Below are 26,277 nucleotides of genomic sequence, written 5' to 3' on the forward strand. Positions count from 1 at the left end.
ATACTGCCTAAAAGAGACTCATTCTGTCACCCCAACCCTGGTTCCACCCAGCTATGGGAAATCTCTGCAGAGGCTTCAGGTGTGGATATGTCTATGGGCCAAGAGCGGGGGTGGGAGGCAGGGAAAGTGATGACTGTGACCTTGAGCAAGGCACTTCTCTGCCTTAGTTTCCTCTTTGGTAAGCAGAGTGGACCTGTTCCATGATCCCTGAAGTCCTCCCTGTGCTTCTATTGTACCATCCCCTCTAGGGCACTGGTTATAATTCTCACAGGTCCAAGGGACACCTTCAAATGTGTTCCAATTCCTCCCAGCCACTGAGTAGCCCTTTGGCCCTGCTCCCACGAGAAAGGAGGATTCGGAGCAGCGTTCACGGCTTTCTGGTTTTTGTTCTGTGTGCAGCAGCTCTCCACCCCTAGCTGCTCCTTCCACCTTTCCTTTTCCGCCTCAAAGTGGTCAAGTGCCTGTGCAGGGGCAATCGCTGGCCTGCAGTGTCAGCTCAGAGACGGTTTCCAGACCATCCTGTGTACAGGCTCAGGGTGGACAAATAAACATTTTGGAGAAGCAATAGGAATTAAATCATTTCTTCCACAACAAAACCCTTATGCTTCTTCATAAATCATGCCTCTTCATTCCATACTGATGAACAGTCACTAAATTGCATCTGTTATAAAAACAGCCCTTACTCCTTTCATGCCCAGACACTTAAGAATCAAAATATTTTCACACTCCATTGTACTAATAATGCCTTGCAGAAGTAATACCAATAGCTATTTCCCTGGAAAGATCCGTGGCCAGGGCGCTTTCCAAGAGGTTTTCTTTGAATGTTCTTTGTGTCCTGCTGTACGGGGGGACACGGCCGGCCTGCCCGCATCTGGGGGACGCTGGGCTTGTCCCGGTAATGCAATACTCTTTTAAAGCACACCTCGAATCCACCTCTTCGCCCCGACAATAAAGTATCTCAAAACATTCGATATGCCACATCATACAGCCTTGACAAAAAAGCACGCCGGTGCCTGCATTCTGCAGGAAAAACCAGGCACATTCTGAGATGAAGCCACCAGACCCGCTTCGGGTTCCATGGACAAGAGAACAGCTTTGCAGACCCCTTAGCAAGACCGGCCAGAAGCCGCTCGCTTGTTCGTTTTAATTATTTATTTCCCCCGTGCCTTTATTTGTTGGGCCCCAGAAGAATGGCAAAGCATCTTCCAGAAAGGACGGCGAGGGAGCTGGAGAATAAAAGAGGATGGGCGGGGAAAGCCGGGGTTTTGAAAACAGCAGCGATAAAGGCAGGCGGGGTCGCGGCCGCGTTCCGAGGGTCTCGGCGGAGCTTACCTGGGGCGCACGAGGCCGGCCGGGCCAGCAGCAGCAGCCAGAGGCCAGGAAGCAGCAGCCCCGGGCGGCGGCGGCGGGCGCAGCGGGCGGAAGGCCGTCGGCCGCTCGGCCCCGGGGCCAGCGCGACCCCGGCGCGGGGCTTCCCCTCCATGGCCGCGCCTCGGCGTCGGCGCCGCGCCCCCGGCATTCCCGGCCGGCGCCCCGGCCCGGCCTCGCGGCTCAGCGGCTCTCGGGTCCGGGAGGGGCGGCCGCTGCGGCTGCGGCTGGGACGGGGCGCCGCGCACCGGCGCGGAGGGAGGCCGGAGAGGCGGGGGCGGGCCGGGCCGGAACCGAGGACAGGGGCGCCAGCCGCACGCCCGCCTTGCCGCTCCGCCCCCTTCGGAGCCTCGGAGCCGCTGCCCGGCAACGCGCGGGCCCGGGCGCGGGACGGCGAGCACCCCCTCCCGGCCGGCCGGACGCCTGCCTGCCTGCCTGCCTGCCTGCCTGCGGGGCGGCCGGGGCAGCGTGCGCGGGGCTCGGCGCGGCAGAGGCGGCAAGGGCGGCGAGGCGGCGCGGCCCAGCCCTCCCCCAGGACCCGCCTTCCGGAGGGAGCGCGAGGGGCTCGGGGGGCCTGGGCCGGGCGGTGCCGCCCCGACCCGCACCCAACCCCGGGTCCCGCCGCGCGTTCCCCGGGGCGCCCGGATCAGGGTAGGCCGGCAAGCCGGGGGAGGGGTCCTCTCGCCTCCCTCGCTCCTCCTCTCCCGCCGACTCCTTGCGGGCAGCAGGTGTGTGGGGCGCCGCGCTCTCAGGACAGCCTCGGGGCCGCGGAGGGGACAAAGCCAGACAAAGTCGGGCTCCTGCGCTAGAGCTCAGCGTGCAAGGCAGGGGCGAGCAGAGCGCACGCAGCTCTCCCCCGCCTTCCTGCCTTAAGAAGGTGCGGCCACCTCTGCGGGTCTTCGGGAAGCGACCCTGCGCTCAGGGCCTGGGAGGCCCGCGGGACCCTGCACTTAGCAGGCCTTGAGCAGGCGGCTGCTGAAGCGAATGGGCGTGGAGCTGGGGAGACCCGCAAGGCCAGGCCGTTTTAGGGAAAGTGGCGCTCCTGAGAGGTGGAGAGAATGCCCAGAGAGCGTTTGAGGGTTGGAGTCCGCGGGGGGAATGAGGAACGGGAAGAAGGGAGTTGACATCTGTCAAGTACCTACTGTGTGCCAGGCACGTCACTCTGAAGACGCCCCGTGGCTTCAGGGTCTAGGGAGGAGGAATTGGAAGTTTTGAATCGTTGCATCCCACTGGCATTGTTGCATCAAGCAGATATTAACGGTGTGTGTGGGGGACACTATCTCGTGCAGAAAAACTATGGCAGACAGCGGAAAAGGTGAATCATTACACTGGCAGAGGGATCCTCGCGGCTATTCAGTCGGGTTCCCCTGCCAGGCCCAGCCCTTGAAGGGGCTGCCCAGCCTTGCAGCTCCAACTCTTCTGGACTCCTTGCCCTTGGCGAATAGTTCTTCCTAAGAATAGGACAGGGGCACTCTTCTGTAGGTACACACCTGGTCCTTACAGGTGGGTACTTGAAACCTGGTAGTTTCAAGGAAAATGAGAATAAAGGTTAAAAAAAGCTTTTGTTGATGTTCCTGGTGTTTTTACACGTTATTGTAACCCCCCATCATACAGCCCCTATGTTTATTACAGTAACTGCTCCTGTCTCCCAAAGAGGGTTCTGCGTGCACACCCAGGTAAGTACCTAAGAGAAACTGCCCAGATATGTCTGGTCCCAGGACACCATGGCCATAGATCTGGGACCTCTTATTCACACACTTATCTTTATTCTCTGAACTCTCTATAACAGCACATTTGACCACAAACCACTGCCTTCGTGCAACTCTTGAATGGTCTTGTCCTGTTGTGTTGTTTTATCTTTTATGAATTTATGCTTTGCACACACAGCCCCCACCCCACCTCCAATAAATTAATATGAAATTCAAATATGGTGCTATCCTGCTTAGGATTTCTCATAGCCCCAGTAAGCCCTCAGTAGACAATCGTTGGTTTGAGCCAGAGCATGCATTCCGCCCGTGAAGAGGTTCCATCTTCAGATTTGGCCTCAGCCTCCTGCAAGCTGCCATCTACACTAGACCCGTTGGTGTCAGAGAAAAAAGCCTCCCTCGGCCATGCGCGGTGGCTCACGCCTATAATCCCAGCACTTTGGGAGGCCAAGGCAGGCAGATCACCTGAGGTCAGGAGTTCAAGACCAGCCTGGCCAACATGGCAAACCCCGTCTCTAATAAAAACACAGAAAAATTTACCCAGGCATGGTGGCACGTGCTTGTAATCCCAGCTACTCAGGAGGCTGAGGCAGGAGGATCACTTGAACCCAGGAGGCGGAGGTTACAGTAAACCAAGATCACGCCACTGCACTCCAGCCTGGGTGCCACAGCAAGACTCCATCTCAAAAAAAAAAAAAAAAAAAAAAGGAAAAGAAAAAAGAAAGGAGTCTCCTTCTCCATTCTCTGCAAACTCAAAGACAATAGTGTTTGCCCTGCCATTAAGAGATTGATCAGCTGGAAGTAAAAATAAAAATTGGAACCCTGAGATACTAGAAATGACTCATGGACACCAAAGTGTCCGTGGAAAGTGAGGTCCCTAGGGTCCCTTAGTCTCCCAGCTCTGAAGGCATAAAACAAAATCTTACCTCTGTTAGGATTTAAGGCATTCTGCCTCCATGTCTGGGAAAATGTCTACCAGGCTCTGACAGTCCAGCTGGTAGGTGGTGTTACTCTGCAGACTCAGAGGGGATGAGTGGTCCTTGGAGGTAGGGGAGTGTGTGCAAATGTGTGTGTGTGTGTAAGATTTTAAAATCGATTTTAGAGATCATCTCATCCAATTCTCATAGATAAAGAAACAAGCCAGAGAGGTTAGTTTATTTCCATAAGGCTCAACTCCAACTGGAATTGTCGTCTCCAGTTAAACCACACACCCTCCAGGGGAGGGGGAAAATTAACCTGGGTCCTCGATAGGCTTACAATCTGGTTTGGAGACAGGGAGAGGTAGGCTCAGTACTATCCTTAGACCTAGACGAAGCGGGCCCCACTCTGGCCTTCTCAAACTGCACCTCTCTCCTCAGGACAGAGTCTGTGAAGCCCAGGAAGCACCCTCACCAGCAGCCCATCTTCCCATGCTCAGGTGCCCAGGACCCCAGAATCCTGCCCATTTCACCCCAGGCTCATCTTCAGGCCTATGTGGCCTCTTCCTCAAGTCCATTCTCCCAAGGCTGCACCAAGGGTGTGTCTGGTCCCACGGGGTAGTTGTTTGCTAGGGAGTGGCAAAACTTACGCAGGAGGCATCTCTAAAGATGCGCACATGAAACCTATAGGAATGAAGCAGAGGACCAGGGATGGGAAGAGAAGATCGGGCATGGCCCATATTCACATGGCAACCTGGCTGCGATGTTCTGCTCACAACTGCAGGAAGTCTGCGAATCCTGCCTGTGAACCAGCCTAACCATTCTGAAGACATACGTTTGTTAAGGTAGAACAGACATATTTAATAGTTTGCTTGCTTGGCATGTAACTTGCTGATGAAAATCTGGTCATCGATGTGAAATGGCCAAAATGGCCAAATGTGAAATGGGCTGCGTGAGCCCCTATTTGCACTCTTGACCTGGGCCCCTCAATTCTTAGGGTCTGGATAAGGATGGGACAGAGGGACTGAAGTTAGAGGATGGCTGGAAGTCGGTAGAGGGTAGTGTGAGAGTCCTAGAATAGGAATCAGGACAGCTGAGTTCTGCGTTCTGCTCTGTCACAGAAAAGTTTATGAACTTGAACAAAATGCTTCACCCTACTCTCAAACCTCAAATGTTCTTATCTGATGATGGGCTTCACATGCCTACCTTGCTTAGCTGTGGGTTCGGTTCTTAAGAGAATTATACAAAATAAGATGAATGTTCACAAAGGTCATTCATTAAATTCAATGAATATTTTTTGAGCATGTACCATATGCCAGGCAGTGCAGTGGGCACTGGAGGTATAACGGTGAACAAAACAAAGGCCCTTCCTCGTGGAACTTATGTTCTAGTGAGAGGAGACAGGCAATCAGTAAGTGAGCCTTCGGCTGATGACAACAATTTGCAGAATAACAAAGAGGGAAAAGGAGTGAGGGAAGGGTCAGTGTTACTGTGTTAAATAGAATAGTCAGGGATGATCACCCTACTAAGGTGACATTGGGCCATGGGGATAGCTGGGGAAGAGGGTGTCAGGCAGAGGGAACAACTGTGCAAAGTGGAGAAGTAGCCAGAATAAACATTCAAAAAATATTTACTGAGTCCCTACTAAGTAAGCGCCCCGTAGAGTCATGTGCTAAATGATCAGTAAGATTAATTAGGCCGGGCACAGTGGCTCACGTCTGTAATTCTAGCACTTTGGGAGGCTGAGGCAGGTGGATTGCTTGAGCCCAGGAGTTTGAGACCAGCCTGGGCGACATGGTGAGACTCCCATCTCTATGAAGAAATCCAAAACATTAGCTAGGCATGGTGGCGTGCACCTGTAGTCCCAGCCACCCGAGAGGCTGAGGTGGGAGGATCACCTGAGCCTGAGGAGGTCAAGGCTGCAGTGAGCCGTGATCATGCCAGTGCACTTCAGCCTGGGCAACAGAGCTAGACCCTGCCTCAAAAAAAAAAAAAATAATAATTGTCTACAGTTTTTTCAAGGAGCTTACAGTCTTACGGGAAAAAAAAAAACAAATTTTAAAAACCTACATATTGCAAAGTAGAACATGACAGATGTCCGAAGGAAGTTATAAAAAAAAGTTCAAAGAAGTAGAAATCATATTTGGCACAAGAGATCAAGCAAAGCTTCAGTGTAGTGTTGCATGGAAGCTGGGTGTTAGGGGGCGCCTAAAAAATGAAGAGGACTTGGACAGCTAAAGAGAACAGGACAGGTGTTCCAGGTGGAGGGAACCAACAGTACAAAAATATAAAGGCAGGAATGCATGAAATTTATCTAGCTGATGGCCAGATCAGCTAGAGCAGTGGTTCACAATGCTGACTGCAAATTAAAATCACCTGGACACCACAAACAAAACAAAACAGAACACCCCCAGGCCACACTTCAGACCAGTAAAATCCAAATCTCTGCAGACCAGGCTTGGACAGCCCTGTCTTTTAAAAGCTTCCCAGGATTCCAGTGTGTAAGAACCATTGAGCTAGATGTCTAAGAGTGAGACTTTATAATCACTTACTGAAAGTGGTAAGACATACCAGACCTAGAGAGGCGCAGCAGAGAAGAGAGAAAAGGGAAGCTGATATAGAACAAGGAGAGCTTAAAGATCTGGCTGAAGGGTTTGGACTTAATTTTGTAGGTGACGGTGGATCATTAAAGATTTGTTCAGATATTATTAGAACTAAGCACAAGAAGGATTACTCTATTAACATTATATAAGATGATTTGGAAAGAGAAAAGACTAAAGAGGAGACCAATTAAAACAAGATTTTTTTTTTTTTTTTTTTTTTGAGATGGAGTCTAGCTCTGTCACCAGGCTGGAATGCAGTGACGCAATCTATGCTCACTGCAACCTCTACCTCCCCGGTTCAAGCGATTCTCCTGCCTCAGCCTCCCGAGTAGCTGGGACGGCAGGCGCACATCACCACGCCCAGCTAATTTTTTTGTATTTTTAGTAGAGGCGGGTTTTCACCATGTTGGCCAGGCTGGTCTTCATCTCTTGACCTCGAGATCCGCCTGCCTCGGCCTCCTAAAGTGCTGGGATTACAGGCGTGAGCCACTGCACCTAGCCAGAACAAGATCTTAATGCTGCTGCATGAATATCAAGGATCAAAATATTTTTCACCATCAAACAGACAAAACTTTTAAAATTTTGATTATATTCATTTGTATATTCAAGTGTATAGCAAAATAGGCACTCTCGAATTCTACTGGTGTAGCCATTTTGGAGGATAATTTGACCTTATCTATCAAAATATAAAATCAGCTCACTTCCTTTTCCTTTTTTTTTTTTCAAGTCAAGTTTAATTCAGCTGGCAAATTTAGTCAGGTAATTTAATCAGATAAAATTCACCTTTTTTGGCCAGGCGTGGTGGCTCATGCCTGTAATCCTAGCACTTTGGGAGGCCAGGATGGGTGGATCACGAGGTCAGGAGTTTGAGACCAGCCTGACCAACCTGGCAAAACCCCGTCTCTACTAAAAATACAAAAATTAGCCAGGTGTGGTGGTGCGTGCCTGTAATCCCAACTAGTCGGGAGGCTGAGGCAGGAAAATAGCTTGAACCCGGAAGGCGAAGGTTGCAGTGAGCAGAGATCACATCATTGCACTCCAGCCTGGTGACAGAGCGAGACTCTGTCTCAAAAAATAAATAAATAAATAAATAAAAGTTCGCCTTTTTTTTTTCAGGTTTTAAAAATAATCTTTATTTTTTAAAAGTTAATATGTACAATTCAGGAAACTGAAAAACACAAGAAGCAAAGAACAAAGCTATCCACAATCATAAGCAGTTTGATGAAAATTCACCTTTTAAAAATGTTCAGTGAGTTTCAACAATTCTATGAAATCCTATAACCACCACCACATTCAAGGTAAAGAACATTTACATTGCCCTTAAAGTTCCCTTGTGCCAGCTTGCAGTCTATCCCATACCCTCCCTCTGACAGCCACTGATCTGATTTCTGTTTCTACAGCTTTGCCTTTTCCAGCATTTGACATAAATGGAATTATATAGTATGTAGCACTTTGTGTCTGGTTTCTTTTACTTAGCATAATGTCTGAGATTCATCCAAGTTGTTGCATGCGTCAGTAACTTGTTCCTTTCTATTGCTTAGTAGTATTCCATTGAATGGATATACCACAATTTGTCCAGTCACCAACTGATGAACATTTGGATTGTTTCCAGGTTTTTGGTCATTATTAATAATGCTGCTAAAAACATTTGTTTTCAGGTATTTTGTGTGAACATATGTTTTCATTTCTCTTGGGTAAATACCTAGGAGTAGATCTGCTAAGTCATGTGATAAATGTAAATTTAACTGGGTGGCGTGATAAATGTAAATTTAAACTGCCCAACTGTCTTCCCAGGTGGGATATATTTTAGATCCCCACCAGCAATGTATGAAAGGTCTAGTTGTTCCATACCCTTGTTAGCACTTGATTTTGTTAGCCTTTTTAATTTGAACCATTCTAGCAAGTGTCTAATGATATCTCATTGTGCACTTAATCTGCCTTGTCCTCATGACTAATGATATTGAACACTCTCCATGTGTTTATTTGCAATCAATATGTCTTCTTTGGTGGCATGTCTGTTCAAATCTTACCAAATTGTATATTTATGTATTCTAAATACAAATCTTTTATCCGATGTGTGTTTTGCAAATGTTTTCTCCTAGTCCATAACTTGTCTTTTCATTCTCTTAAGATATTCAAAGAGAAGAGGTTTTTAACTTTGGTGAAATACACTTTTTTATTATTTTTTTCTTTTTTGTTTCATGTTTTTTGTGTCCTAAAAAATATTTGCCTAGCTCGAGGTCACAAATATTTTCTCTCATGTTTCTATCCAGAAACTTAATGTTTTAGCTCTTATGTTTCAGTCTATGATCCATTTGAGTCAACTTTGATGTATTTTGTGAGATTAAAGGGTTGAAGTTAATTTTGTGGGTGTGATGTCTAGTTGTTATAGCACCATTTGTTGCAGACTATCCTTTTGCCATTTAATTGACTTTATATTTTCTCAAAATTAATTGACTAGGTATGTGTGGATTTATTTCTAGACTTTGTATTCTCTTCCATGGAAGACTCACATATTACATGGGCATGGGGGAGTAAGATACTGTATAGTATAATCCCACTAATGAAAAAAAAGTGGGATTGTGATTGTAAACCCACTTTTTAAAAAAGTATGAGTGTAAACAGTCGTTACTACTGGGAAAGGAAATCAAGTTTAGAGAGGAGTTGGGAAGTGAATGTATGAAGGGGAAAATTCACTTTTTGCTCCATATAATCATACACCTGATTACAATAATCTTACCTGTGATTAATACACATCATATCATCTGAACTTTTTTCTTTATTTTTCATTTATTTAACTCCACTCCTGTGACAGATTAGATAGCATTTGAATTTTTGACACCAGCATATACTGCTTTTGTATTTCAAAATTTTTCTAAATAAAAACTTTGTGGGTTTGAATGGAAATTAGAAAATGGATGAGACACATTCTGGATGCTAAATGAGTCGGTGAGATATGAGGAGAGGAAAGAATGAAAGATGATTCAGAGATTTTGGACCATCTGTGGAAGGATAGGAAAAAAAGGAATTCAGCTGGAAAGCCTGGGTGAGAAGCAAAGATGGAGGGTTGGGTTCTGAGTGTGTTGGCTGTGAGGTGCTGGACCCATACCAGGGAGCTGTGCTGACGCCAGCGATGGCGAAGGTGAGCTGAGGGCTTGGAAGATGTGACTCCAGATATGGAATCATTCATACGGCGTCATTAGCTAAAGATGAGAGAGTAAATGACTGCCTAGAAAGGGAGGGGAGAAGGCAAGAAAAGAGGGCCAAGGAGAGCCCTGGAGAAAGACCTTCGTTTTGGAAAGGCTGAAGAGGAGTCCGTGAAAAAGGCAGAGAAAGATCTAGAAAGAAAGCGGAGAAGCACAATGGAAATGTGGTGTCACCAACAGCCTGGGAAACAAGTTTTAAAATAGAGAGGACAGTCAATGTCAAAGACAACAGGACTGAGAAGACCTCTTTGGACTTGCAGATGCAGTTGTTAAAAAGAGACTTTCCTTCTGTGCCTGGCTCATTTTGTCCTCCGGGTTCATCCATGCAGTCTCAAATAACAAGATTTCCTTCTTTTTTAAGGCTGAATAGTATTCCATTGTGTCTGTATACACCACATTCTCTTTATCCATTCATCCCACAATGGACATATAAGTTGATTCCATATCTTGGCTTTTGTGAATAAGCTGCAGTGAACATGGAGGTGCAGATACCTCTTCAACTGATTTCATTTCCTCTGAATGTATACCCAATAGTGGGATTGCTGGACCATAGGATAGTTTTACTTTGAATTTTTTGAGGACCCTTCATACTGTGTCGAAGTGAGGGGGTGGCAGGGGAGGAGAGGCAAACAAAAAGGGGTAAAAGAATGAGTGGGTTAGGAAGTAGTGGAGGCCACAGAAGATGGCGGGTAACAGGGTTGAGATATTTTTTAGGATAGGTAAGACTGAACATCCTTGTAGATTTAAGAGGTGTCCAAAGACAACGAGAGAATAAGATCCAAGAGAGGGATCATCGATAGAGCAAATTCTCAGAGCTAAGAGCAGATGGAATCAACAGCAACAGGTCATTCTTTTGAAATGGCAGCTTCAGCCAGGCGCTGTGGCTCACACCTGAAATCCCAGCACTTTGGGAGGCCGAGGCGGGCGGATCATGAGGTCAGGAGATCGAGACCATCCTGGCCAACATGGTGAAACCCCATCTCTACTGAAAATACAAAAATTAGCCTGGTGTGGTGGCACAAGCCTGGAGTCCCAGCTATACTCGGTAGGCTGAGACAGGAGAATTGCTTGAACCCGGGAGGCGGAGGTTGCAGTGAGCTGAAACTGCACCACTGCACTCCAGCCTGATGACAGAGCGAGACTCCATCTTAAAAAAAAAGATATGGCAGCTTCAGCAGCCCAATGTCCAGTGTCAGGAGAGTGGCTTAATGGCTTGATAAAATCACCATACAGTAACACATGGAAATGTTATACTTCTGTGAAAAAACATAGGAAGTGTTTGGGTTATAATGTTAAGTGGAGGAAAAAATATATATAAAATGGTTTATGAGCTGATATAAAACAATGTGTATGACTGAGAAAGAACTGCGCATACTTAAAATTGTTGTATTGAGGTAATGGGATTATGGGCATTCATCCTCTCCTTTGATGATGATGTTGTATTTGTCTTTTCAATAGAAAATGTTTACAAGAACGAACAATCTTCTTCCAAAAGAAGAGAGAAAGGACAGATTAATCAAGGTAAAGGCCTTAAGTAGTCTCTAAAGTGATTTCTTCCCCGGCCGGGCTTGGTGGCTCATGCCTGTAATCCCAGCACTTTGGGAGGCCGAGGCAGGTGGATCACCTGAGGTCAGGAGTTCAAGACCAGCCTGACCAACATGAAGAAACCCCGTCTTTACTAAAAATACAACATTAGCCAGGTGTGGTGGTGCATGCCTGTAATCCCAGCTACTCAGGAGGCTGAGGCGGGAGAAATGCTTGAACCTGGGAGACGGAGGTTGCAATGAGCCGAGATTACGCCATTGCACTCCAGCCTGGGCAACAAGAGTGAAACTCCGTCTAAAAAAATAAATAAATAAATAATAAAATAAAGTGATTTCTTCCTTTTCAACATCAGTGTCTCAATGTCAGGTGGCAGTATTTGGACTAAAACACAAAAATCCTAAAGAGGAAAAGATAGCATGAGCTAGAGTAGGTATGGAAGGTTTCACAGAGTACGTGGGGCTTAACCTGGGTCTTGAACAATGAGAACAATGGGTAGCATTTGTTAAAGGAAGGAAAAAGAAAAGGGAGAGGAGGGGGTATTGTAGAGGAAAGCAAAGGCAAGAAGACAGAAATGGACAGAATGTGACCTCAGACAAGGCTGCTTAACTAGAGGAAAAGCTATTTGGAGGAATTTGAAGACAAAAGAGCAAATAAATAGGATAAGGTCAGATTTAGACCTGCCATGAGTTAGACCATGCCAAAGACTGCCATGATCTAAACTAAATAACTACCTCAGTCTACCTAAATCACTAGGGAAGACTTTCTGCCTATCGGAAGGGAAGCCCATGGAGAGAGACACATCCTGAGTGCCCATGACCATGGGTAAAACATTTAAACCAGGATCCTTGGTTGGATGAATTGGGCTGGAGACGTCTACTCCTCCTGCACAATTTGGTAGCAATAATGGCAAATAAGAGTGTTCTTGAGGCAGATCCCACGCCTTGCCTCCCTGTCTACTGCAGTTTTTCTCACCTCCTTTGTCTCTAAGCCTCCGCCCCCTAAGACACAAGCTGCCGCAGATCAACTGGCTCAATCCTCTGCCCACATTCTCTATGGTCATTTCCTGCTATAGCCCCAAACCCACGGGCAGCTCTCCCGAGGCATGCCAAAAATCCACATTAGAATCACGGCAACAGTTGGTGAAGGCTATTTTTAGAGTCACCCTCATTCTCTGGCATTATACTTACTCCAACTCACATATGACTGTGTTCTAAAACTCATCGACTCTGGCTCAAACTCAGAATGAGAAGAATGATAACAATCTAGGTCTTCTTGCTCTTCCATCTTGTCATGAGTTTCCATCAATTACATGAACAAAGCCAAACCCACATGAACTATACATCTGTCGCAACTTCTCTGCTTCTCTAGAACACCCCTTTCTCACCCAAATCCCCAGAGACAGAGTCTTCCTAGTATGGAGATGTCTGCTCTCGGGCCTCCTATAGTTGTGGGCATCACTTCTGCAGGAGGCCATCCCTGATCTCCTCATATTGCCCGTGACACCTGTCACTGCATTTACCACATGGAGTTAAAATTGGCCGCGTGGAATTAAATCTTCATTGTCTGCTCCCGACTAGATTATAAGTTCTTCAGGGGCAGGGACCTTGTCATTTTCATCTCTTCATTCCCCAGTGCCTACCGCAATGCTTGGCGGTCATAGGGTTCCATTAATACTTGTTGAATGAATAAATGGAAGTACGTATAAGAACTAAGCTCCAAGCTGGTCTCTTACCCCTCATCCTACCAATCCCTGCCGGCTAAGGTGCTGAACTAACTTAAGTGGGGGGCCTGAGCTTGCCCATAGTTCTTTGCTACCAAGGCCAGGAGGGAAGTACTGTGGCATCTGCGTATCCATCCTGGCACGGACACAGTATAACGTCTCGAACTTCAAGGAATGCCAAGAAATGCTGGATTCCTCTGCTACATGCTATGAAACCAACCAGAGATTGCTTGAGAAATATTAAGGCTGCCTCAGACATGACATTTGCTTGGCCTTGTGCAGAGTTCAGTATGCTACGGTAATTGGCACCAGCAAACACTTATTAAATTTGGTGAACTAAGGCTCTTCACAAAAATAGAGGAAGAACATCTCTGCCCTTTAGGAAATGACAATCTCCAAACAATAAAGTGTGTTTACCAAAATTGAATTTTATAGGCTCTTGGATAAAAATCGTGAGAAGCTGAATGATAAAATTATCTGCCCACAAACAACTCTGTATGGAAGTCATCCACCATTTTAAAGAGAAAATTAAGAAACTTCTAGACTGGCACTGCCCAGAAGAACTTTCTGAGTTGGTGAAATTGCTCTATAACCTTGTGCTCTCCAATGAAGTAACCGCTGGCCACAAATGGCTATTGAGCACTTGCAGTATGGCTGGTGCAACTGAGGAACTGAATTTTTAATGTCATTTAATTTTAATTAATTTTAATTTAAATATCCACATGTGGGTAGTGGCTACCATATTGGACAGTGTAACTCTAGACCATGAAAAAAGTATGATGATGGCTGCCGTGTGGAAAACTAAATACAGAAACTGCCAACATATGACACATGATTCAGATCCGATCACAACTGCTGGACTTGTTTCATGATAGGCACTGATATCTATGGCAAACACAACTCTCTAGACCGGACCTGTGAAATGAGAATAATACAAATAATAGTAACTACCTCATACCCACCTCAGCTTAACCAGTACTGTGTCCCTGTAGCCTTCTGAGAATCAACTTGAAATTCAGTTTGGGTTTGCTGGGCAGTCTCTGCCTGACATGTGGGCCAAAATCGAACTCAGCCACCATCATGTGTGGCCACAGCAGATGTCTGAGAAAGTCCACAAAATAAAAGACATCAGCAGATAAAACATCCACAGTGAAAACGAACACTTCATCAATATAAAAGCAAACTTCCAAAGCTCCCCACTCACCCATCAGATAAAATGCATTGCTGAGCGTGCCAGGCAAAGGTTCTCAGACTCCTGCAGGGAAGGCCAGCTGGTGGGACTGTCCTTCCAGGCACTGCCCCGGGTGTCCCCGTGTCCCTCCCCCTTCACCCACCCTGGAGGCCCCGCGTCCTCCCTTCACCTACTCTACACCTGATGTGCTCGTCCTCACCCCAGCCTGCCCTGTTTGTCCCGCTCCATCCAAATAAGTAATTTTTGTTGGTCTCTTCTTTCTTAGAGCTTACTAGAATTTAATTTTTTTGACCCCAAGAAGCAGAGATTGCAGTGAGCCAAGATCACGCTACGGCACTCCGGCCTGGGTAACAGAGTGAGACCCTGTCTCAAAAAAAAAAAAAAAAAAAAAAAAAAAAGAATACCGTGCACCGTGCCTTAGCAGTATCTATAAAGTATTCTTCTGATGTTCACTATTCGCTCTGTTGACATGATGTAATACATCCAAAGTTTTCTTTTTGATCTCCCAGTCCTGTATGTGGAGATAAGTTCCACCGAGTCATGGTATGGTATACAGTGTAGGGGTTGAAAACATTGGATTTAGATGAAGACAGACCTGACTTTGAATATAGTTTTACTATTTATTAACTGTGTATCTTTAGGCATAGTTTTTTTTCTAAGCTTTGATTTCCTCACCTTAAAATGGAAATGTTAATACCTTCTTCATAGTGTTGTATGGAAATAAGTTAGATAATCAGTTAAGTTTCCCAATACAGTAATTGGCATCTAGTTAAATATACAATGATGGTTATTATTGCTCAAATCTTTGCTGAAATTTTCTTTAAGAATTTTTCAACTGTGTGTGTAAATGAAATTGGCTTCTAATAGAAGTTATAAGGAATCTTCCTTATCAGTGTTAATAATAGCACCTATTTAACTCACAGAATTAATTTGGGATCATGCCATCTCTCCCGTTTTTCTAAAAAGGAACTTTAATTTTTTATTACACATTGTAGAAAAAGCAGAATATACAGAGAAGCAAAATTATGAATATTAAAATGATCTGTAACCTCACCACCTCCAAAGAAGCATTGTTAACATTAGATTCGCCCAGACATTTTAATGTATAAATTCACATACACACACACACACAGACACACAAAATGCTGACAGAAAACTGTGATCAGACTGTATATAAAATTTTGTTTCATTCAACAATATATTATGAACATCTTTTCATCTTAATAAATAATACTTCCAAAACTTAAATTTTAATGGTGGCATGTATTCCAAGATATGAACCCAATGTAAGTTGTTTTGCAAATTCCCAAGTGTTAGACATTGAGGTGGTTTCCAATATTTCACCATTATAAGCAATGCCATGGCAAACATTGTGCTGGATCTTTTGAATAGCTTTTGGTCCATCCTTTCCCCTTCTCCACCATGTTGTTTGGTTGGGGAGGCTGATCTTTACATCACTGGGCTTCCTTGCCCTCTGGCTTCCAGTAGGTTTGGCCAATGGGAGGCACCAGCAAGAAATCCGAGGATAGGAAAAAAGGGAGATCAGGATATTTCTGCCCCAAGCTTGCTCCCCAAAGGGCTACTGATTGGCTGTGTCCTTGAACTAGATGCTACCGCACCCGGTTGGAGGTTCTCTCCTACTGTTACCCTCCCTGGGTTCCTGTAACAGCTCCCTACCCTGCACCTTCATGCTTAGGGTGGTAAGGTGTCCCTCCTGTTCCTAGCCCCAGAGTACTCCACCATCCTTTGTTGATTTCCCTTAATCCTGCCCACACCTTTATAAATAGTCCTTCATTAAATTCACTTCATTTTCTAGTTTAAGTGTGCCATCTGTTTCTTGCTGGAAAATATAAACAACTTTGTAAGTAAATTTCTCTACCTTTCTTCTGCTATTAGCATATAATACATTTCTGCAACTGGAATTATTTGATCACACAGCATGTGTATTTTTAAAACCTTTTCTAATATAGCCAACTTGTTTTCCAGTATACCTTCCTCCAACAGTGTATGACAGCACCAGCCGTCAGGCCCCGTGTCCAAACTAGGTATTAAAAATTTTATTTTCATCTTTTTCTGTGTTCATAAACATTTCTATAATACAGGGTTCATCTCATCTCTGAAAGTGTGTGTAGGAGGGAAAATTACCTATTAATTATCGCAGTCTTTTTTTTTTTTGGTGTTTCTTGCGTAACTTTCTCAATATTTTCCTCTGCTATGAGCTATTACAAATTGACATGCTAGCCCATACTTGGCCCCTAAGAATTCAATAAAATTGGCCAGGCATGGTGGCTCTTGCCTGTAATCTCAGTACTTTGGGAAGCTGAGGTGGGAGGATGACTTGATCTCAAGAGTTTGAGGCCAACCTGAGCAACGTAGCAAGACCTCGTCTCTACTAAGAATCATAAAAAGATTAGCTGGGGCTGGGCACGGTGGCTCACGCCTGTTATCCCAGCACTTTGGGAGTCCAAGGCGGGCAGATAACCTGAGGTCAGGAGTTCGAGACCAGCCTGACCAACATGGTGAAACACCGTCTCTACTAAAAATACAAAAAATTAGCCGGGCATGGTGGCACATGCCTGTAATCCCAGCTACTCGGGAGGCTGAGGCAGGAGAATCACTTGAACCCAGGAGGCAGAGGTTGCAGTGAGCCAAGATCGCACCATTGCACTCCAGCCTGGGCAACAAGAGTGAAACTCCATCTCAAAAAATAAAAATAAAAAAAATAAAAAAAAAGATTAGCTGGGTATATTGGTGCATACATGTAGTACCAGCTACTCCAGAGGCTAAGGCAGGGAGATCGCTTGAGCCCAGGAAATAGAGGCTGCAGTGAGCCATAATCACGCCACTGCACTCCAGCCTGGGTGGCAGAGTGAGACCCTGTCTCAAAAATAGGAATAATAATTCATTAAAATGTTAGCTGATTTTATCTTACTTATTTGTACTTGGGCCTTCTTCTTCCCCTCCCTTTGCCAAAGGTGAAGCCGTTTATGTGTCACATCTCTCCTTGCAAGGCTTTGTCACTCTTTGGATTTCAGCGAACTTGGTTGCCTTGTAACCACAGCTCATTGATGGATTCAAGAAAAGCTATGATTTTGTCGGTTATCTGGCTTTTTCTTGTGACTTCCTACATTCACAGCTGAAGTAAAACTTCCCATTTAATTTTTTGAACATGCAATTAAATGTGAACATTTTAATAAAAATAAAACACAGAACTATATTTGATTCCACATTCAATATGCATGTAATTGCTAATGGAAGAAATTAATATCTTGCCTCTCACATGTTACGTGGAAAACTACTTATATAAATATTGAAGAGTCATATGAATTGTTTGTTAGTGAAAAATGTTTCCCAGACACCGTGTGCACTTGCAGTGAATACTGTTCAATTTGTGATTACCTCCCGAACTACCAATTCAAACACACAAAGAAGAAAGGAAAATGGACTCTGGAAACTACTGGAGAAAGATACTTCATTCGGCAAGAATCTATTGCATCTATGGTATCTGAAAGGCATGACTTGACGAGTCAATTTGCCTTTGCCAACCTACATGTTTCCACCACTGAAATCCTCTGCAAAGTCCAAAACCATGTCTGTTTCCAACGCTGGCAGCGGTATAGCCCACAGAGCTACAGAGTGTTCAGAAGCAGTCACGTTTGGTTTTGAGGACACAGGATAAGCAGAGTGGAGAAGCATTTCCCTGAGGCTTGAATGGTATAAATCCTGATAGCAAAGGCCCTCTAAAGCAGGGACACAGGTCAGGGGCCCCTCTTGCCCAGGTCTAAGGGCAGTATTGATCTAACTCATCTCTGTTCTGATAATTAAACGAAGTAGTATATCTAAAACGTCACACAGTACTTGTCTCCCAGTAAAGCTACAATAGGGGAAAGCTATTATACATGTCATTATTTCTTATCATTGATGACTATTAGCTTGAAGTATCTTGAAGATACTGATTTCAGTCCCTCTGGCTTTTATTTGGATTCCAAGGTCCAAAATAATACTATTTGGTATTTCTTTAAATGTTACCATCCCCTTCTTAGTTGTATAAAGTATTCTTTATTATTGTCAAAGTTCAAAAATTAAAAATATGTATTCAGGTTCCTTTTTTTAATGTTTTGTTTGTTTCCCCGAGACTGGCTCTGTCGCCCAGGCTGGAGTGCAGTGGCATGATCTCGGCTTACTGCAACCTCCACCTCCCAGGTTCAAGCTATTCTCATGCTTCAACCTCCCAAGTAGCTGGGATTACATGTGCGTACCACCACACCCGGCTAATTTTTGTATTTTTAGTTGAGACGGGTTTTTACCACGTTGGCCAGGCCGGTCTCGAACTACTGACCTCAAGTGATCCACCGGCCTTAGCCTCCCAAAGTGTTGGGATTACAGGTGTGAGCCACCACGCCCGGGCTCTTTCATTGTTTCTTGCTTAAGGCCATTGATATTGTCAGAACAGTGAGGAGCAGTCTTTAGCACTGCCATTGATTTTCATCAGCTACGTTGCGGAAACATTCTGGTCACAGCTTTTCTGATTGCGCTGTGACCCATTTCTGTATTCTAATATCAACTATTAGCATTGTCGGTCCAAAGTTATTTGGGCAACCTCCATCCCTGTTACTATTTCATTTGGTTTTGCATGGGTTTTCTAAATATATTTCTATTCTATGTGATTTTACATGTTTAAACATTTCCTAACCATGTAAACACATTTTTATAACTGTACACCATCAATTTATTATTATTAGGGTATACTCAAACTTATTGTTTTCCTTTAATCTGTTTCTCCCTCCTCTTTTACATAATGAGTTCATCTTGCCAATACCCCAACTCTAATATTTCGTTAATACTTCTAGCCCAGAGCCTCCTCCCCACAGCCCTCTTGCTAGCTCTAAAATCTTTTTGTTTATTCAGATAGTCAATACTGCATTGTCTCTCTACCTCACATGATATTCTTGGGCAAAAACATACCTTCTTTTATATAAACTATAACCCATGACATCTCTACTTTGTCTTGGACCACTTATTTCCTATGCAATATTAAAATAGTTTAGTCTTCTGAGAGCAGGTGGCATTTATCCAGTTTTATGGATGACAAAATGCCTTACAGAGAATTTTTTTTTTTTTAAGACAGTCTCACTCTGTCGCCCAGGTTGGAGTGCAGTGGTGCTATCTCGGCTCACTGCAACCTCCACCTCCTGGGTTCAAGCGATTCTCCTGCCTCAGCCTCCTGAATAGCTGGAACAAAAGGGGTGCGCCAGCTTGCCTGGCTAATTTTTTATTTTTAGTAGAGACAGGGTTTCACCGTGTTGGCCAGGCTGGATTCGAACTCCAGACCTCAGGTGATCTGCCCACCTTGGCCTCCGAAAGTGCTGGGATTACAGGCGTGAGCCATCATGCCCAGCTGATTTCTTGATCCATCAAAAGTTACAGAATAAATTGAAGGCAGAACCAGAACCTAAACTCAGATTTCCAGTCCAGTGGTCATTATATATAACTATACTGCCTTCTACCCCCTAGATTCCTTGGTAGGTGAAAGTATCAAACTTGCGCTGCACCAGAGAAGTTAGCTTTCTTTAATCTTTACTAAGTTTGTCCTAACCAGAGGGAGACGGAAAATGCACACAAACCACAGAGAGGCTTTTCAAAAGACTCTCACGGTTGATTCCTTGAATTCTAAAGATCTTCAACCCACATCTATGTGAAAAGGAAGAATCTGGTAATTTACTTCTACAAACACTGCACAAAAGTAGTCATTTCCCTAAGTTTTCACCTACTGAGAATTATTACTATTATTATTCTTTAGAGATGGGGTCTTGCTCTGTCACCCAGGCTGAAGTGCAGTGGCTGCTCACAGGCACAATCACAGTTCACTGCAGCCTTGAACTCCTGTGTCCAGTTGGTCCTCCCACCTTGGCCTCCTAAGTAGCTGGGACTACAGGTGCTTGCCACCACGCCCAGCTAATTAAAAAATATATATATTTTTTTAGATGGGGGTCTCATCATGTTGCCTAAGCTGGTCTTAAACTTCTGGCCTCAAGCAATGCTCCCACATCAGCCTCCCAAGTAGCTGAGATTACAGACATGAAACACGACATCTGGCTCTAATATTTATTCTTTGTTCTAGTTACTTTACGAACTCAAGTGGAATGATTTTCAGGATAAATTGTTAAGTGAAAATAAGTATGGCCAGACATGCTGGCCCACGCCTTTACAAAATCTCAATGCTTTGGGAGGTCAAGGCAGGAGGATCACTTGAGCCCAGGAGTTTGAGACCTGCTGGGGCACCATGGTGAAACCCCATCTCTATTTTGAAAAATAAAACTAAATGAAAAGGAAAAAGAAAAAAAAAAAGGAAAGAAGTAAATCCCAGCACTTTGGGTGGCCAAGGCAGGCAGATTGCTTGAGTCCAGGAGTTCAAGACCAGCCTGAGCAACATGACGAAACTCCATCTCTACGAAAAATACAAAAATTAGCCAGGCGTGGTGGCATGCACCTGTGGTCCCAGCTACTTGGGAGGCTGAGATGGGAGGATCACTTGACCCCAGGAGGTCAAGGCTGCAGTGAGCCATAATTGCACCACTGTACTCCAGCCTGGGTGACAGAAAAAAAAAAATTACCATTCTCTACAAAAAGAAAACAAGGTGGTTTAGGAGTGAGTTAGGGGACAGTAGTGTTTTGTTGTTTTTAAGAAAAAATTCATTCCAGGGCTGGTACAGGGAAAGCATAAATGAGCCTGAAACATCTTATGTCAAAAAGTAAAGACATGGCCGGGCGCGGTGGCTTACGCCTGTAATCCCAGCACTTTGGGAGGCTGAGGCGGGCGGATCACGTGTTCAGGAGATCGAGACCATCCTGGCTAACATGGTGAAACCCCGTCTCTACTAAAAATACAAAAAAAAAATTAGCCGGGCATAGTGGCAGGCGCCTGTAGTCCCAGCTGCTCGGGAGGCTGAGGCAGGAGAATGGCGTGAACCTGGGAGGCGGAGCTTGCAGTGAGCTGAGATTGCGCCACTGCACTCCAGCCTGGGTGACAGAGCCAGACTCCGTCTCAAAAAAAAAAAAAAAAAAGGTAAAGACATGCTCAAAGAATGATGGGGACCTGTCAAAAGGACACAGGAGCTAGCTTGGAGAGACTCCACTGGACAAATATAAGATAATCTATGCATCAAAAAAATAATGATAGTGTCAGAGGCGTGTGAACCAGAGCAACTCCATCTTGAATAGGAGCTGGGTAAAATGAGGGTGAGACCTACTGGACTGCATTTCCAGACCATTAAGGCATTCTAAGTCACAGGATGATATGGGAGGTTGGCACAAAATACAGGTCATAAAGACCTTACTGATAAAACAGATTGTAGTAAAGAAGCCGGCCAAAATCCACCAAAACCAAGATGGCCACAAGAGTGACCTCTGGTCGTCCTCACTGCTACACTCCCACCAGCACCATGACAGTTTACAAATGCCATGCGTCAGGAAGTTACCCTATATATGGTCTAAAAAGGGGAGGCATGAATAATCCACCCCTTGTTTAGCATGTAATCAAGAAATAACCATAAAAATGGGCAACCAGCAGCCCTTGGGGCTGCTCTGTCTATGGAGTAGCCATTCTTCTGTTCCTTAATAAACTTCCTTAATAAACTTGTTTTCACTTTAAGGACTCGTCCTGAATTCTTTCTTGCGTGAGATCCAAGAACCCTCTCTAGGGGTCTGGATCAGGACCTCTTTCATGTAACATCTTTCTGGCAACCACGAAGGGACTATAGTACAGAAACCCCTGATCCAAAGGCTAAATCTGGGTAAGTGTTGGTGTCCTGTAACATCTTTCTGGTGACCATAGAAGCAACTACAGTAAGGAAACCCCCAACCCAATGGCTAACTTTGGGTAAGTGGTGGGGTCTGGTAACACCTTTCTGGTGAACCCTGAAGGGATGATACTGAGGAGAACCCCCCGACTCAAAGGAAATAGACTGCAGCACTGACTGGACGACTCTGGGTGAGTGGTGGGGTACCCGGATAAAGGACAGGATTGGGTTAGAAGCCCAACTTAGGGGAGTTAGAGTGTCTCCTAAGACAGAGAGGGTTAAATGCTCCTCTCAATAAAAGGCAAGGATGCTTGACTGACCTTAGGTTATTAGAGGTCCGACTTAGGAGGGTTAGAGCCCCTTCTAAGATTTAGGGGGTTAGAGGCCCCTCTCAGTAAAGTCCCTCTCAGTAGGTAAAGTCCCTTTTGGCTAAGAACAGGTTTGGCACTATGGGATGTTAACTGCTATTCTCCTTGGATTAATCTGCCTTGTACTATTTGCAAATGGCTATGGGTGACAGGATTAGGCATGTACAGGATCATGGGACATGGGGAGCTTTTTCCTCCCTAAAAGGGGAAACTTGAGAGCTGGTGGGACTGCTGGAAAAGATCCCTTCACTGTCGACAAGCAGCCGCCTGAACTTTTCAGTGTCACTGCAATGGGTGGGTCTTTCTCTGGCTTCTTTGAGCACCTGCCTTTCCCACCTTGCCTCAGGCAATGCTTTCCTCTCTGTCTCTCTCTCTCTCTCTCTCTCTCTCTCTCTCTCTCTGTGCACACTGGTTGAATAAACGGTTAAAAAAAATCACTGTTTATCTCCTCTGCTGTAAAGTTTTGATTAATGAAAAAAAAAAAGGATTTATGAGGTTAGTCTTAAGCCGTAGCAAATCTGTTGTGTGTCTTTTCTGTATTGTTCTGTCTTAAACAGGGGTAACTTAGGATAGAACACTGGCTTAGGACACCTGTAAGCCCACTTTGCAAAACAGCCCAGCAAACTGGTCAGTTACAAACTTTGCTGCAGGTCCCTGAAAAAAACTAGATGAGGTTTCCTTCTTGTCTTGTATGTCCTTGGGAACTTGACCTTGTAACCATGTGGCCATGCTTTCTCTTTTCACAATGGTGGCCTGGGTTTGGGGTTCAGTTCCCAGCTTAGGGAATGATCCTTTGCCTTCTGTCTGTCTGTGTATTTGTATGTGTTGTGTGTATAATATAAAAGAGCTTTAATTAATTGGTTTAATAATAATAAGAGCTTAAATCAAATATTTTGTCAGAAAAGTAAAAAGTGTAATGCCTTTTAGTTCATGTGACTTAAGTAATCTTTGGGAAATAAAGATAATTTTAAAGATTATTGGTAAAATTAAAATATCTTCAAAATGTAAACATTTGGTCTAAATTATGCAGGTCCGATATTAAGTTTGCTAAATGCTTTAAGGTCATAAACTGCTTCTTTAACTTTCGAGCATTAGATTCTAGATATAAGGCCTAGGACATGTAGAGTTAGCCACGACCCCTACCTATGCTGGACTCAGCCCTTATCTGCACTTCTGCCTGGTGTGTCCTAGGTTAGGCTCCACACCTAGTACAAAATTAAAATTGCTACTTACCAACGTTTGTTACCAACAGTAAAAAGTCACTAAGGGTTAATATTATAACACATAATTGAACTAGTGAAGAAACAGTTTTACGTGCAAGGTGTGTAAAGAAAGTGAAATGTGTTTTTGGTAAAAGATTATAAAAAGTCATGGGAATGTGGATTTTTTTTCTTGCCTAGATTAAAAGGGTTATAGGATTGTTTTAAGTTAGACAGAAAAAATCTAAAGGTTTAGGCCAGTTGTGAAAGGTTTCTGAAAAATTAATCTTGTGAAAGAAATTCTGTGTGTGAACATGTTGGCTAAAGTTAAAGGGGTATTATTCAGTTTTTCATAAATTGAACATTGGAATAAAAGCACAACAGGTTTTTTCTTAGTGCAAAAACTTGCTTATGATCTGCTCTTTAACAAAAACTTGTAAAGAGTTATAAAAGATTTATGAAAATCTTACTTTATCATCAAACTGATTAAGATTGAATACATTTGTCTATAAGGTTTCATTAAGAATGGAGTTTGACATCAACAGTGCACTAATGAACAGTGACATTTGGCTTATTTGGTATAAAAATTATACAGGGAGCATTATCAAATATGAAATGGTGTTTGGCTTTCTTTGGGCTATATTTGTATAAATGTGTTATTAGCATATGTTCCCAAATTATGGGAAACTCCTAATTCTGATATGACTTAGTGTATGTTATTAATAATTATAATTGTTACATAAAATCATTGTATGCTACAGAGGTAACAAAATTTATTTGTCAATCATGTTTTTGACTATGGCTTCCTAAAACATTTTGTCATCCACAAACAATTGTTGACTTGTTTTAATCCTCTTTAGAAGGTGGTTTATAATTGGCTATTGGACTCTAATAGGTGTTCTTGAATGCAGATTTCTAATAACTTTGGAAATTGTGACATTAGAATAGAGGAAACAACTTTCAGAACTCTCATAGAGAGTTAAAATGTTCATGAATATCAAGCAAGACAGGAGTTAACTAAATTTACTGAACCAATAAAACTTAAGTAATCTTTTTAACTTTGCTTAAAACATTGCTGATCTTTGCTTTGTTTTTTCAGAGTCAAGGAAACTTTTCTTTTGAGCTACTTACAGCTTTTAGCAATTGAATAAAGCATACTGCTATGAACAAAATTTGGAGCATATTTGTTTCTCTCTCCCTAATTTCTCCAGAATTTAGAAACTATTTGTGAGTATTCTTAATTTATGGCAATAGTTATTTGCATAAGTGCTGTAAGAATCTGTTTTCTTTTGTAATAGGACACAATTGGAAAAATTGGTTATTTTACCAAGGCTTTGACTGGAATGGTGTGCTTTCATTTAAGGAATTAAACTTGACTTATAGAGCCCATAAAAGCCCCTTGGGAAACTGGCCTTGTACCTTGCCTACACAGTCCCTGTACAGGGTTTCTGACCTGTGGTAAGTAAAGAATGTCACTTTCTCACAGGTCCAGGAGCCCCCAGGTTATCTTGGGACCTCAAAAGGAGAGACATTTACTCAACTCACAGGTATTTGAGAGTACACACCCATGGCTGAGCTTGGCTTTAAAAAAGTCTTATCTGAGATTCCTTCTATGTAACAGAGTTCCATCAAAGCCAATTTAAAAAGAGATTATGTGAAAAATACCCTTGGTGTACTTTATACACATAATCAGGCCAAGATAATAAAACAAATCAGTCTTGCCATAATTTATCTTTAGTAAAAATGGGAAACTGGAGAGAGAAAAGTTATGTTTCAAAAACTATGGTATACTTGTTATTAAATTCTAGTCTCATCAGTTGTTTTTCAGTTTGTTTCTGCAATTTAGGCTAACCTTGCTTATTCCTGTGAACCAACTAGCGATCTCTGGCTGCTGCTCATAAGAAACAAGAGGGATGGGTAATGTAAAAATCTGAATCAGTATTTTAATTCTGGGCACATATTGGAATTAGCTAGCAACGCCATATCAGCTTGGTTCCAATAGTTGCCCAGTTCATGGAAAGCTTTATAATTTAATTTACTTGGGATTATTTCACTTAACTTTTGTGGAATACATTGCTGTTGTACTCTTTGTGTAGGAATGCAGGACAAGCTTACTGAATGTTTTCTTAAACTGAACACTTATTAATCTTCCAGATATCAACCCTTGTCAGAACTCAAGAGTTATGAATGCCCGTCACCATACTGATGCTTTCTGACTGAGCTCCTCTCTACCCTGAATACAAGAGACCATAATAGTTAGGCAGGAGTGTCATCACCCCTATTCAGCCTGAAGAAGTTACAGAAGATGGATCTCCGTCCCTCTGCAACCCTTAGGATTAAGGGTTCTCTTATAAAATGGAGGGGAGAAATGTCAAGAGGTGTGTGAACCAGAGCAGTTCCATCTTGAATAGAAGCTGGGTAAAATGGGGCTGAGACCTACTGGACCGCATTCCCAAATGGTTAAGGCATTCTAAGAAATAGGATGAGATAGGAGGTCAGCACAAGGTACAGGTCATAAAGACGTTGCTGATAAAACAGGTTGCAGTAAAGAAGTCAGCTAAAACCCACCAAAACCAAGATGATGACAAAAGTGACCACTGGTCGTCCTCACTGCTACACTCCCATCAGTGCCATGACAGTTCACAAATGCCATG

General features: G+C 43.8%; 1 protein-coding gene across 2 annotated transcripts in view, besides 7 other annotated features; it reads right to left on the bottom strand.

Annotated features, from left to right (window-relative positions):
- The window catches only part of KIAA1549, a 150,009-nt gene extending 148,370 nt beyond the window's left edge, over positions 1-1,639 (bottom strand). For both annotated transcript variants that reach the window (NM_020910.3, NM_001164665.2), the window contains exon 1: positions 1,333-1,639. In NM_020910.3, the coding sequence (NP_065961.2) occupies positions 1,333-1,519 (187 nt within the window). In that variant the 5' untranslated portion in view covers positions 1,520-1,639. The remainder of the gene's footprint in view (positions 1-1,332) is intronic.
- Positions 253-547: a silencer, noted in NCBI's record as "tiled region #8027; K562 Repressive non-DNase unmatched - State 20:ReprD". NCBI's record gives its function as "represses a minimal TATA promoter and a strong SV40 promoter by Sharpr-MPRA in K562 cells {active_cell/tissue: K562}" and the evidence as "EXISTENCE:reporter gene assay evidence [ECO:0000049][PMID:27701403]".
- Positions 558-1,444: an enhancer, noted in NCBI's record as "H3K27ac hESC enhancer chr7:138665054-138665940 (GRCh37/hg19 assembly coordinates)". NCBI's record gives its function as "activates a minimal SCP1, AML or CMV promoter by ChIP-STARR-seq in naive H9 embryonic stem cells {active_cell/tissue: H9 hESC(naive)}" and the evidence as "EXISTENCE:reporter gene assay evidence [ECO:0000049][PMID:30033119]".
- Positions 558-1,516: a biological region, named in NCBI's record as "H3K27ac hESC enhancer GRCh37_chr7:138665054-138665940".
- Positions 1,387-1,516: a silencer, noted in NCBI's record as "silent region_18688". NCBI's record gives its function as "represses an Ori minimal core promoter by ATAC-STARR-seq in GM12878 lymphoblastoid cells {active_cell/tissue: GM12878}" and the evidence as "EXISTENCE:reporter gene assay evidence [ECO:0000049][PMID:35858748]".
- Positions 1,557-1,936: a silencer, noted in NCBI's record as "silent region_18689". NCBI's record gives its function as "represses an Ori minimal core promoter by ATAC-STARR-seq in GM12878 lymphoblastoid cells {active_cell/tissue: GM12878}" and the evidence as "EXISTENCE:reporter gene assay evidence [ECO:0000049][PMID:35858748]".
- Positions 1,957-2,086: a silencer, noted in NCBI's record as "silent region_18690". NCBI's record gives its function as "represses an Ori minimal core promoter by ATAC-STARR-seq in GM12878 lymphoblastoid cells {active_cell/tissue: GM12878}" and the evidence as "EXISTENCE:reporter gene assay evidence [ECO:0000049][PMID:35858748]".
- Positions 2,067-2,416: an enhancer, noted in NCBI's record as "active region_26745". NCBI's record gives its function as "activates an Ori minimal core promoter by ATAC-STARR-seq in GM12878 lymphoblastoid cells {active_cell/tissue: GM12878}" and the evidence as "EXISTENCE:reporter gene assay evidence [ECO:0000049][PMID:35858748]".

This window comes from Homo sapiens, chromosome 7, assembly GCF_000001405.40.
Source record: "Homo sapiens chromosome 7, GRCh38.p14 Primary Assembly".
In the NCBI taxonomy this organism is placed as follows: domain Eukaryota; kingdom Metazoa; phylum Chordata; class Mammalia; order Primates; family Hominidae; genus Homo; species Homo sapiens.